At 39.0% G+C, this 14,858-nt stretch overlaps 1 protein-coding gene across 2 annotated transcripts in view; it reads right to left on the bottom strand.

Annotated features, from left to right (window-relative positions):
* The window catches only part of FIG4 (FIG4 phosphoinositide 5-phosphatase), a 134,131-nt gene that overhangs the window by 68,560 nt on the left and 50,713 nt on the right, over positions 1-14,858 (bottom strand). For both annotated transcript variants that reach the window (NM_014845.6, XM_011536281.4), the window contains exons 9-10: positions 13,595-13,757; positions 13,095-13,192 (exon numbers count right to left, since the gene is read on the bottom strand). In NM_014845.6, coding sequence (NP_055660.1) covers positions 13,095-13,192; positions 13,595-13,757 — 261 coding nt within the window. The remainder of the gene's footprint in view (positions 1-13,094; positions 13,193-13,594; positions 13,758-14,858) is intronic.

Raw genomic sequence — 14,858 nt, 5'->3', positions numbered from 1 at the left:
AAGAAGTTGAAAACTTTGAAAAAAATTTAAACGAATGTATAACTAGAATAACCAATACAGAGAAGTGCTTAAAGGAGCTGATGGAGCTGAAAGCCAAGTCTTGAGAACTACGTCAAGAATGCAGAAGCCTCAGGAGACGATGTGATCAACTGGAAGAAAGGGTATCAGTGATGGAAGATGAAATGAATGAAATGAAGCGAGAAGGGAAGTTTAGAGAAAAAAGAATAAAAAGAAACGAACAAAGACTCCAAGAAATATGGGACTATGTGAAAAGACCAAATCTGCTCTGATTGGTGTACCTGAAAGTGACGGGGAGAATGGAACCAAGTTGGAAAACACTCTGCAGGATATTATCCAGGAGAACTTCCCCAATCTAGCAAGGCAGGCCAACATTCAGATTCAGGAAATACAGAGAACACCACAAAGATACTCCTCGAGAAGAGCAACTCCAAGACACATAATTGTCAGATTCACCAAAGTTGAAATGAAGGAAAAAATGTTAAGGGCAGCCAGAGAGAAAGGTCAGGTTACCCACAAAGGGAAGCCCAACAGACTAACAGTGGATCTCTTGGCAGAAACTCTACAAGCCAGAAGAGAGTGGGGGCCAATATTCAACATTCTTAAAGAAAAGAATTTTCAACCCAGAATTTCATATCCAGCCAAACTAAGCTTCATAAGTAAAGGAGAAATAAAATACTTTACAGACAAGCAAATGCTGAGAGATTTTGTCACCACCAGGCCTGCCCTAAAAGAGCTCCTGAAGGAAGCACTAAACATGGAAAGGAACAACCGGCACCAGCCGCTGCAAAATCATGTCAAAATGTAAAGACCATTGAGACTAGGAAGAAACTGCATCAACTAACGAGCAAAATAACCAACTAACATCATAATGACAGGATCAAATTCACACATAACAATATTAACGTTAAATGTAAATGGACTAAATGCTCCAATTAAAAGACACAGACTGGCAAATTGGATAAAGAGTAAAGACCCATCAGTGTGCTGTATTCAGGAGACCCATCTCATGTGCAGAGACACACATAGGCTCAAAATAAAAGGATGGAGGAAGATCTACCAAGCAAATGGAAAACAAAAAAAGGCAGGGGTTGCAATCCTAGTCTCTGATAAAACAGATTTGAAACCAACAAAGATCAAAAGAGACAAAGGAGGCCATTACATAATGGTAAGGGATCAATTCAACAAGAAGAGCTAACTATCCTAAATATATATGCACCCAATACAGGAGCACCAAGATTCATTAAGCAAGTCCTGAGTGACCTACAAAGAGACTTTGACTCCCACACAATAATAATGGGAAACTTCAACACCCCACTGTCAACATTAGACAGATCAACGTCACAGAAAGTTAACAAGGATACCCAGGAATTGAACTCAGCTCTGCACCAAGCGGACCTAAAAGACATCTACAGAACTCTCCACCCCAAATCAACAGAATATACATTTTTTTCAGCACCACACCACACCTATTCCAAAATTGACCACATAGGTGGAAGCAAAGTTCTCCTCAGCAAATGTAAAAGAACAGAAATTATAACAAGCTGTCTCTCAGACCACAGTGCAATCAAACTAGAATTCAGGATTAAGAAACTCACTCAAAACCGCTCAACTACATGGAAACTGAACAACCAGCTCCTGAATGACTACTGGGTACATAACGAAATGAAGGCAGAAATAAAGATGTTCTTTGAAACCAACGAGAACAAAGACACAACATACCAGAATCTCTGGGACACATTCAAAGCAGTGTGCAGAGTGAAATTTATAGCACTAAATGCCCACAAGAGAAAGAAGGAAAGATCCAAAATTGACACCCTAACATCACAATTAAAAGAACTAGAAAAGCAAGAGCAAACACATTCAAAAGCTAGAAGAAGGCAAGAAATAACTAAAATCAGAGCAGAACTGAAGGAAATAGAGACAAAAAAAAATCCTTCAAAAAATTAATGAATCCAGGAGCTGGTTTTTTGAAAGGATCAACAAAATTGATAGACTGCTAGCAAGACTAATAAAGAAAAAAGAAGAATCAAATAGATGCAATAAAAAACGATAAAGGAGATATCACCACCGATCCCACAGAAATACAAACTACCATCAGAGAATACTACAAACACCTCTACGCAAATAAACTAGAAAATCTAGAAGAAATGGATAAATTCCTCGACACATACACCCTCCCAAGACTAAACCAGGAAGAAGTTGAATCTCTGAATAGACCAATAACAGGATCTGAAATTGTGGCAATAATCAATAGCTTACCAACTAAAAAGAGTCCAGGACCAGATGGATTCACAGCAAAATTCTACCAGAGGTACAAGGAGGAACTGGTACCATTCCTTCTGAAACTATTCCAATCAATAGAAAAAGAGGTAATCCTCCCTAACTCATTTTATGAGGCCAGCATCATCCTGATACCAAAGCTGGGCAGAGACACAACCAAAAAAGAGAATTTTAGCCCAATATCCTTGATGAACACTGATGCAAAAATCCTCAATAAAATACTGGCAAACTGAATCCAGCAACACATCAAAAAGCTTATCCACCATGATCAAGTGGGCTTCATCCCTGGGATGCAAGGCTGGTTCAATATACACAAATCAATAAATGTAATCCAGCATATAAACAGAACCAAAGACAAAAACCACATGATTATCTCAATAGATGCAGAAAAGGCCTTTGAGAAAATTCAACAACGCTTCATGCTAAAAACTCTCAATAAATTAGGTATTGATGGGACATATCTCAAAATAATAAGAGCTATCTGTGTCAAACCCACAGCCAATATCATACTGAATGGGCAAAAACTGGAAGCATTCCCTTTGAAAACTGGCACAAGACAGGGATGCCCTCTCTCACCACTCCTATTCAACATAGTGTTGGAAGTTCTGGCTAGGGCAATCAGGCAGGAGAAGGAAATAAAGGGTATTCAATTCGGAAAAGAGGAAGTCAAATTGTCCCTGTTTGCAGATGACATGATTGTATATCTAGAAAACCCTATTGTCTCAGCTCAAAATCTCCTTAAGCTGATAAGCAACTTCAGCAAAGTCTCAGGATACAAAATCAATGTACAAAAATCACAAGCATTCTTATACACCAATAACAGACAGAGAGCCAAATCATGAGTGAACTCCCATTCACAATTGCTTCAAAGAGAATAAAATACCTAGGAATCCAACTTACAAGGGATGTGAAGGACCTCTTCAAGGAGGACTACAAACCACTGCTTAACGGAATTAAAGAGGATACAAACAAATGGAAGAACATTCCATGCTCACGGGTAGGAACAATCAATATTGTGAAAATGGCCCTATTGCCCAAGGTAATTTATAGATTCAATGCCATCCCCATCAAGCTACCAATGACTTTCTTCACAGAATTGGAAAAAACTACTTTAAAGTTCATATGGAACCAAAAAAGAGCCCGCATCACCAAGTCAATCCTAAGCCAAAAGAACAAAGCTGGAGGCATCACGCTACCTGACTTCAAACTATACTACAAGGCTACAGTAACCAAAACAGCATGGTACTGGTACCAAAACAGAGATATAGATCAATGGAACAGAACAGAGCCCTCAGAAATAACACCGCATCGTCTACGGCCATACCACCCTGAACACGCCCGATCTCGTCTGATCTCGGAAGCTAAGCAGGGTCGGGCCTGGTTAGTACTTGGATGGGAGAAATAACACCGCATATCTACAACTATCTGATCTTTGACAAATCTGACAAAAACAAGCAATGGGGAAAGGATTCCCTATTTAATAAATGGTGCTGGGAAAACTGGCTAGCCATATGTAGAAAGCTGAAAATGGATCCCTTCCTTACACCTTATACAAAAATTAATTCAAGATGGATTAAAGACTAAACATTAGACCTAAAACCATAAAAACCCTAGAAGAAAACCTAGGCATTACCATTCAGGACATAGGCATGGGCAAGGACTTCATGTCTAGAACACCAAAAGCAATGGCAACAAAAGCCAAAATTGACAAATGGGATCTAATTAAACTAAAGAGCTTCTGCACAGCAAAAGAAACTACCATCAGAGTGAACAGGCAACCTACAAAATGGGAGAAATTCTCCGCAACCTACTCATCTGACTAAGGGCTAATATCTAGAATCTACAATGAACTCAAACAAATTTACAAGAAAAAAACAAACAGCCCCATCAAAAAGTGGGAAAAGGATATGAACAGACACTTCTCAAAAGAAGACATTTATGCAGCCAACAGACACATGAAAAAATGCTCATCATCACTGGTCATCAGAGAAACGCAAATCAAAACCACAATGAGATACCATCTCACACCAGTTAGAATGGCGATCATTAAAATGTCAGGAAACAACAGGTACTGGAGAGGATGTGGAGAAATAGGAACACTTTTACACTGTTGGTGGGACTGTAAACTAGTTCAACCATTGTGGAAGTCACTGTGGCGATTCCTCAGGGATCTAGAACTAGAAATACCATTTGACCCAGCCATCCCATTACTGGGTATATACCCAAAGGACTACAAATCATGCTGCTATAAAGACACATGCACACGTATGTTTATTGTGGCACTATTCACAATAGCAAAGACTTGGAACCAACCCAAATGTCCAACAGTGATAGACTGGATTAAGAAAATGTGGCACATATACACCATGGAATACTATGCAGCCATAAAAAATGATGAATTCATGTCCTTTGTAGGGGCATGGATGAAATTGGAAATCATCATTCTCAGTAAACTATCGCAAGAACAAAAAACCAAACACCGCATGTTCTCACTCATAGGTGGGAACTGAACAATGAGAACACATGGACACAGGAAGGGGAACATCACACTCTGGGGACTGTTGTGGGGTGGGGGGAGGGGGGAGGGATAGCATTAGGAGATATACCTAATGCTAAACGACGAGTTAATGGGTGCAGCACACCAGCATGGCACATGTATACATATGTAACTAATCGGCACATTGTGCACACGTACCCTAAAACTTAAAGTATAATAATAATAAAAAAAAAGAAAAAAAATACTTAAAAAAAAAAGAAAAAAAGAGAGAAGAATCAAATAGACACAATAAAAAATGTTAAAGGGTAGATCATCACTGATCCCACAGAAATACAAAATACCACCAGAGATTACTATAAACACCTCTATGCAAATAAACTAGAAAATCTAGAAGAAATAGATAAATTCCTGCACACATACACCCTCCCAAGACTAAACCAGGAAGAGGTCAAATCCCTGAATAAACCAATAACAAGTTATGAAACTGAGGCAATAGTTAATAGGCTACAAACCAAAAAAAGCCCAGTACCAGATAGATTCACAGCCAAATTCTACCAGAGGTACAAAGAGGAGCTGGTACCATTCCTTCTGAAACTATTCCAAACAACAGAAAAAGAGGGACTCCTCCCTAACTCATTTTATGAGGCCAGCATCATCTTGATACCAAAACCTGGCAGAGACACAACAAAAAAAGAAAATTTCAGGCCAATATCCCTGATGAACATCGAGGCGAAAATCCTCAATAAAATACTGGCAAACCGAATCCAGCAGCAGAGCATGGTGAGTTTTTATAGAACAGCTGGCATATGGGAAGTAACTTATAAAAATTTGCCATTTTCATTATCACCCTGATCAAGCCTTCACTTAGAAACAAAGAAAAACAATTAATTTCACAATAGTGAGACTGAAATGGTGTTAAGGCACTATTGTTGGCATCAAAATTAGATTGTGCTGTTTTCAATCATGGAGATTACTTTTCAATTGTCATGAATTTAATGAGATAACTACTGTAGAAACAAAAAGGGGTAGCTATTGAGCACAGCTGAATACATCAAATGAAATAATTAGATAAGAATTAAGAACAGTGTTAAATCAGTTTAGGATGAAAATAAATTTTGCTTATTTATATATCGGAGAAAATTAAATTATATATCTGAAATTTTTCTCAAAAGCATTTAAAATCAACTAGGGAAACAAAATCTTTTTGAAATGCTTATATCAAATCTGACATTTCGTGGGATGGAGAGGAAATGTTGTTTGAGCAACCTTCGTATCATCTCTGTGTGAAGAATCTGCTGTATGCATTGTCTGTCCATAGTGTAATAGTGTTAGTGGGTTGTTAGTCAACCTCTTTAGAGCCACAGACCCCTAACAAGTAAAGGAAAACTACTACACAAGTGATTTTGCATAACATTTCTTTTTTCTTTTTTTATAAAGAGACAGGGTCTCACTCTGTCGCCCAGGCTGGAACGCAATGGTGCAATCATAGCTCACTGCATCCTGGAACTCCTGGACTCAAGTGATCCTCCAACTTCAGCCTCCAAGTAGCTGGGACTACAGGTGTGCATCATGCTCAACTAATTGAAAAAAAAAAATTTTGTAGAGACTGTGTCTCCTATGCTGCCCAGTCTGCTCTCAGACTCCTGGCCTCATGCAAGCCTCCCGCCTGTTTCCCAGGTCACTGGGATTATAGGCATGAGCCACCACATCCAGCTGCATATCATTTCAAAGGGTTCCAAGATCCCCCTAACAGCCATGCATGGCCCACAGATTAAAAACTTCTGATGTACAGTTATACTTGATCCTAGGTTGGCCTTCTGTTGATACAGTAGCAGCATTGAAGGCACATGGATTGCTGCAAACTGTCTTTCAACCAGTGCCTCAAACTTTCACAACTGGGAAGAAGTTCGCAACACAGGGTAAAAGAGAAATGAAATCATGAAAAGCATTTCGCTTTATTAACTTCTTCATATGGTGGTAGAATAAAGAGTGAGTATCCCCTAGGTATCATTCTATACACACATGTATTCTTTGGCTCTTTAATCACAATTAATAAGGTCTTCTACCAAGTGGCCTGAATAAACATCTTCTTTAATCCTATGAATAAAACTAGTGCTATAAACAACAAAATATTTTCCTATTCCATGAAACAGCAACTTAATCTCCAAACTATTTCTGTAGCTAACTTCTAGTCATTGTCAGGATTTTTATTGCAATAGAACAATAAACAAGTACAACTTTAAAATCCACTGACTGACCTTTAAATATTCAAAAAAATAAATGTACATGTGAGATACCTGGCAAAGAATACATTATGATCACATGTATGATAGTATTTTTTGAGTGTGCACAATTAAGAGAATTATTTCAAGCATTGTAGACATGAATCTCCATTTAATGACAGCTTTTCAACCACACTATACGAACTCTGTAAAACATGAACTTACTTTTTATTTTATTTTATTTTATTTTATTTTATTATTGAGGCAGGGTCGTGCTCTGTCTAAATCCACTAATTCAAATCTAGGTTTCTAATCCAGTAACACTTTATAATTTAACACTTTGGCAATAATTTATTTCCATACTAACAATATCTTATTTTCTATACATTTACTGGAAAACTGTCCATGAGCATTTTCACTAAAGTTTTCATATTTTAAATTTGCAATTATGTATACTACAGCTACTGTTTAATACTAGGCTGAGGTTAGAGATTATCCACCTTACATTATTCTGAGTTGATATGGAGAGAGATGTGAACATGAAACTTCTGAATTAATATGAACAAATGTCTAGAAAAATGATTATTTAATATCTGAATGATTTATTTTACAAAGTCAATCCCTAGTGGGATACAATTACAAAGAGCAACACAGGAAGAAATAAAGCTGACTGCCTCACTGTTTCACTCTTCTCCCCCAACTGCCAGTTTGGGGACATATTCCTCCATATTCTTGATTTAAAACACACACACACACACACACACACACACACACACACACACACACACACAGAGCTCCTTTGAGCCCATGCATGTAGTTATACAGTCCTCTCCTAGGAACTGTCTCTTCCCCACCCCAAGCTTTGCCTCCATCCTGGGTGATATGGTTTGGCTGTGTCCCCACTCAAATCTCATCTTGAATTGTAGCGCCCATAATTCCCACGTGTTGTGGAGGGATCTGGTGGGAGATAATTGAATCATGGGGGTGGTCTCCCCCATACCGTTCTTGTGGTAATGAATAAGTCTCACGAGAGGTGATGATTTTATAAGGGGTTTCTCTTTTCGCTTGGTTCTCATTCTCTCTTGTCTGCCGCCATGTAACACGTGTCTTTTGCTTTCCGATATGATTGTGAGGCTTCCCCAGCCACGTGGAACTGTGAGTCCATTAAACCTCTTTTTCTTTATAAATTACCCAGGCTCAGGTATGTTTTTATCAGCAGTGTGCAAACAGACTAATACACTGGCTGACTTTCAGTATCTCCACCTCCTTTTCCATTCTAAATCCCCATTCCCACTATCACATCTTACACCAATTCATTATCACAGGCTGCTCTTTCTTCAACATTTCTTATTCGTGACCTCTTTTATTTCCACACTGCTTGCTTTAAATACCCCACCTCGTGAGGACTGCAATCCACTGACATCTCCACTTTCTCCAGCAGCCCTGTTCTTTAAGCCCTGTCCTTACTTGGCTGAGATTTCATGGACCACTTCGATCACAGTATTGCCAAAATCCAAAATGCCTTTCATCCTGTCTTTTCATGTCACACCTGTGTGGCAAAACTAAATAAACCCAATTACTATTTTACCTGTGCTTATACTCATTCACAAGCCTGCTGGAAGAAGGCAGGCAAGAGCAAAATGGTTCCATTTAAGAAATCATGATCACCAACTTGAAATTGGCTCTTGGTACTTCCTGCAGGTTTCTAGTCAACTTACCCTCCCACGTACAAAAGACTTAAACCTTCTCCACTCCCTTCAAACCTCCACTCTCAGCAGATGACCATTCCTCCTACCTTAAGGAGAAATTAAAGCCATCAGAATGGAATGTGCATGCTCACAAATACACACATGCCCGAACCCTTACTATTTTCTGTCTCTCCATTAAAATAATTCCAGCCAGGCGCCATGGTTCATGACTGTAATCCCAGCACTTTGGGAGACTGAGGTGGGAGGATTACTTAAGGCCAGGAGTTCAAGGTTGCAGCGAGCTATGATCTTGCCACTGCACTCCAGCCTAAGTGATAGAGCACGACCATGCCTCAAAAATAAAATAATAATTCTACTATGTATGCTTCAGATTTCATCATTTCCTACTTTCTTAAGTACATGAAATCACTGATCATTCCTTTTCTCTCCTGTGTCATACAACTATCCCTTTCACATGTATCCTCCCCATAGGCTTTTAAACATATCGATATGATCTCTTTCAAAAAATAAAAATGCCATCTTTCACTGGGTACTCCTATTGGGGGAAAAGTACATCACTTACTCACTGTTATCCCACACTCGGTCTACTTCAATCAGTGCCCTCCATGATGCTAACACTAATGGACAATCTTTCCATCCTCATCTTACTTGACCCCTCAGCATTTGATGCTGTTGATCATTTACTTCCTTCATTGTGAAACACGCTTTCTCCTGGCATTCCTGACACAGCACTTCCTGGTTTTCTTCCTACTCCTCTGGATGTTTTTTTCTCTGACTCCTTTGGAGATTCAGCCACTCTAAATGGGCATTAAGAGCAGGAGATCCCCAAGACAAGCTCTGAGGTTTTTCCTTCTCACTTTATACTCTCCACATGGGCATCTCATCCATGCCCATGCCTTCAAATGTCATCTGTACACAGAGTTACAAAAATCACATCTGGGCCTAGACCTCTCCTCTGAGCTCCAGAACCATGCCCTGACCTGTTACCTCCGTTTAGAGGACTCAAGCATCGCTTCTCGGCCTTTTGGCTAAGAACAAGTGTAGAGGACGCAAGCATACCTCAAACCTCACTCAGCATGTCCAAACTACACTCATGATCTTCCCCCAACAAACCCAGTCAGGGTTCTGTATTTCAGTGAATGGCATCACCATTCACCCACCTGAGTAAGCCAGAAACCTGAGAATTGAGCCTGACACCCCCTACTCCCTCATTTCAAATCCAGCCCATCACCAACTCTACTGACTGTCCACTTCTCTACATCTCCACCATACCACCCTGGTTTAAGGCATAATCACCTCTTTTCTGGACAATTATAACAGCCTCCTATCTGGTCTTCCAGCATTGACATTAGCCTTGTACCGATCCATTTGTTTTCTATGTTGAGGTCACAGTAATCTTTTCAAAACATAAATCTGACAATGATCCTCTCAACCATGCAAGATGTTTAATGACTTTCCATTACTCTCAGGAAGAAGGCCAGGCTCATTAATGCAGCCTACAATACTCTGCATGGTCTGGCCATAACCATCTCTTTAGCCTCATCTCAAAACAAGCATCTTGTCCTCACCCTCTGGGCCCCAGCCACAGGGAACCCCCTTTTCTTCCTCCAACCCACCACACTTCCTCCTGTCCTAGGGCCTTTGTACATGCTGCGCTCTGAGTTGAATACCATTCTTTCCCAGTGACCTGGTTAATGCCTCTTCCTTCAGGCTGATGCTAACTCATCCCGTCCTCAGGGAAGACTTCTCTCCATTATAAACTCTTGTTGCACCATTTACCTTATATTGTTGCCTCTGCATTACCTCACCATCTCCTACAACAGGCTGTTAGCTCAAGGCAGGAGCTGTTTCTAGAACTGCCTTTGCACATAGGAAACTCTCAAAAATACTTGTTAAATGACTGACTATAAGGTGTAAGGAAGGGACCCAGTTTCAGTTTTCTGCATATGGCTAGCCGGTTTTCCCAAAACCATTTATTAAATAGGGAATCCTTTCCCCATTGCTTGTTTTTGTCAGGTTTGTCAAAGATCAGATGGTTGTAGATGTGTGGTGTTATTGCTGAGGCCTCTGTTCTGTTCCATTGGTCTATATATCTATTTTGGTACCAGTACCATGCTTTACTGTAGCCTTGTAGTATAGTTTGAAGTCAGGTAGCGTGATGCCTCCAGTTTTGTTCTTTTTGCTTAGGATTGTCTTGGCTACATGGGCTCTTTTTTGCTTCCACATGAAATTTAAAGTAGCTTTTTCTAATTCTGTGAAGAAAGTCAATGATAGCTTGATGAGGATGGCACTGAATCTATAAATTACTTCCTTACACCTTATACAAAAATTAACTCGAGATGAATTAAAGACTTAAACGTAAGACCCAAAACCATAAAAACCCTAGAAGAAAACCTAGGAAATACCATTCAGGACATAGGCATGGTCAAAGACTTCATGACTAAAACACCAAAAGCAATGGCAACAAAAGCCAAAATTGACAAATGGGATCTAATTAAACTAAAGAGTTTCTGCACAGTAAAAGAAACTATCATCAGAGTAAACAGGCAACCTATAGAATGGGAGAAAATTGTTGCATCTCTCCATCTCACAAAGGGCTACTATCCAGAATCTACAAGGAACTTAAACAAATTTACAAGAAAAAAACAACCCCATCAAAAAGTAGGCGAAGGATATGAACAGACACTTCTCAAAAGAAGACATTTATATGTGGCCAACAAACATTTGAAAAAAGGCTCATCATCACTGGTCATTAGAAAAATGCAAATCAAAACCACAATGAGATACCATCTCATGCCAGTTAGAACGGCGATCATTTAAAAGTCAGGAAACAACAGGTGCTGGAGATGACGTGGAAAAATAGGAACGCTTTTACACTGTTGGTGGGAGTGTAAATTAGTTCAACCATTGTGGAAGACAGTGTGACGATTCCTCAAGGATCTAGAACTAGAAATACCATTTGACCCAGCAATCCCATTACTGGGTATATACCCAAAGGATTATGAATCATTCTACTATAAAGACACATGCACATATATGTTTATTGCAGCACTATTCACAATAGCAAAGACTTGGAACCAACCCAAATGCCCATCAATGATAGACTGGATAAAGAAAATGTGACACATATACACCATGGAATACTATGCAGCCGTAAAAAAGGATGAGTTCATGTCCTTTGCAGGGACATGGATGAAGCTGGAAACCATCATTCTCAGTAAACTAACACAGGAACAGGAAATCAAAAACTGCCATGTTCTCACTCGTAAGTGGGAACTGAACAATGAGAACACATGGACACAAGGACGGGAACATCACACACTGGGGCCTGTTGGGGGGTGGGGGGATAGGGGAAGGATAGCATTAGGAGAAATACCTAATGTAGATGACGGGTTGATGGGTGCAGCAAACCATCACAGCACTTGTATACTTATGTAACAAACCTGCACGTTCTGCACATGTATCCGAGAACTTAAAGTATAATAAGAAATAAGTAAATAAAAATAAATGACTGACTAAATGGACACACAGGGTCACAGGCTTCCTTGGTTTTTCAGTAAACTCATCTACATTTATTAACCAACCTCTCAGAATAACCTCAGACACTACTAGATTGTTGGACACCACCAAGAGCACATAACATAACAACACCCTTGCTTTTCATACTCTCAGGGTATTCTTGGCTTCTGACTGAGAGTCTTTCAATTCACTTGGCTGCAACAGATGCAGATAAAACTTATTCTGTGGTTCCCTGCCTCCTATCCTCAGCCTTTGACCTGTATGCCCATTCATATAGATAGATATGCTGACCAGTCAGTGTACTCTGCCAAGAAAGCAGGGAACTATGAGGCTAATACCACCTTGTCTGGGCTTCTCACATGCCCACCTGATCCTTCAGTCACAACAGTACCCCAGTTTATGAATCTAGCCTTTGATCCTATTACTATAAATTAATTTGCCCAGGGGAGCTTATGGATTTTCAAGGGAGATGACTGTAAAGGTGAGGCTGTGACAGTTTGATTTCATGCTTCTTTCTCCAAGTTGTCCTGGAAACTAAGGCAGAAATTTGACCTATATCTAATTCACACAAGGAAATCAGGACACAATGATTTCCTGATATACTGAATCACTCTACTCCCTTAGATATATACTACTCATTTTTTTCAGCCATGCAGAGAAGCCACATGGAATCTGAGGCCAAAGGAAAGTGACTCAGCTCAGACACAGTGAGCTGTCCCAGCATAATAATCTGCACGTCTCTCCACTAGGAAGAGGGAAAGCATGGCTTGTTAACCCCCTCTGTGTTGAGGAAGAGGCTTCCCAGAGCGTCTGAATCTCATAACCAAACAGATGAGCACATCATACCTTCACTAAATTCAAGATGATGATGGGAGAGCCAAACCTCTGGAACATCTGGTCAAAGTGAAGGGCAGCCACATGTGCAAATGGATCTGCCTGATCCACTGAGAAGGAAAAAAGATGAAAAAGCACCTGAATGAAAATTGCAAAGCAAAATAAAAGAAGCATAGGGTTGTTTTTTTAAAGAAATGCAATTCAACTAATCTTTCAATAGTTTCACTTCCCAAATCCTTCTTAAGATGCTCACTAGACACTTATTCATCATGTATTTATTACATTTGAATGATTCTTACATTTCTGAAGCAAAATAAAAATAATTTATTTAACAGTCAAAATTAAACATAAATTTATTACATAAGAATAACGGAAATTCCTCTTCTAAATTATCTACCTTCCAGGACTAAAACCTCCTGAAAACCTAAGCATTTATGAGATTTCTGTGACAACAGTTCATTATCTCTAAATGTGAGGACAGGAGTTATTATTAAAAACATGGCTCCACACACATGTAATAGGTGGTTTAGGCATCATAGTTGAAATGTCCTGAGACCAGTATAAGGGCACAGATCCTCTAACTTGTACATATGAAGAATAACTTCCTGCAGTGAAAGACATCACAGAAGCATCGCAGAGTATTTGTTCAGTCTCCACTTCATTTGCAACATCACCCTGAAAAGAAAGGTGCATTGAAAAATATTTTATGTTATTAGAAATGTTTAATGAAATAACTTTCAATGAAGTTATAATTCCTATTCTTTCAATGAAGTTATAATTCCTATTCTTTGAAAGTCTTGAGAGGTAAATATTGATCAATATTCAATATGCACATTAGAAAAGCAAAACCATTAAAATATAATAAAGAAGGCAATTAAAAGTAGCAGAGAATAGACTAGAAAAAAACAAATTAATCTCTAATAATACAAGTCAGATAGGAAACAGCTGGTTTAAATAAATGGGAGAGAGGGAAAGAAATGACAATTACATGAAATTATACAGGAGGTGAGGAAGACTAGAAGAATATCAAAATTCAATTCTGAAGACCAAAGTGAAATGAAAGGAGTGAGATTCAAATAATGCCTAATGGACAAAAGGAAAAAATAGGGTTTTGAGGTACTTACAGAAGTATATAAGGACATAATAAAGAATAATTTTAGAGGCAGTAATAACATGTCTGATTATCCTTTGAATATTCAAAAGTAAATAATATAGCTGCAAAATTCTGATATTTTAAAGCACCAGCTGTAACAATTTTCACTGTTGATATAATTTTAAGAACAATGTTGCTATTTTAAGCCAGGATCAAAACCCAGTGCCTCACTCAATCTGTCTACCAAATCACACATCCACTCAAAACTCAAGTTGTCTATTGCAAACAGAGACGGAGCACTCAAAGGACAGAACACGGCTGATGGAAGGATGGCTGCATTTTTGCTGTTGTTATTTCCTAGCGATGAACAGAAAAAGGAGTATGGGCAAAAAAGACAAAGAGGGCAAAGCGTTTCCTGAACCTTGCTCCACTTCGTCTTCTTATCAAGAATTGACTTCCCGTGATGAGTGCTGCCTTCTACTTGGGTGGAGGTGCTTTGCTATTTTTGTCTCTACATTAAACATGTACCGCATTTCATATATTATAGAAATGGCTCACCCTCCACAACATTAGACATTTTATAATTCCTCAAAGCACTGCATAACTCTAAGATAGCTGACTTTTCAGAACATCTGCATATTAGTCATATTTCTCACATGTTTCAGATGCACTGGAGTATTAAT

This window comes from Homo sapiens, chromosome 6 (assembly GCF_000001405.40).
Source record: "Homo sapiens chromosome 6, GRCh38.p14 Primary Assembly".
Classification (NCBI taxonomy): Eukaryota; Metazoa; Chordata; class Mammalia; order Primates; family Hominidae; genus Homo; species Homo sapiens.
Note: the sequence above shows the minus strand (reverse complement) of the source record. Positions and strands in the feature narration are given on the sequence as shown.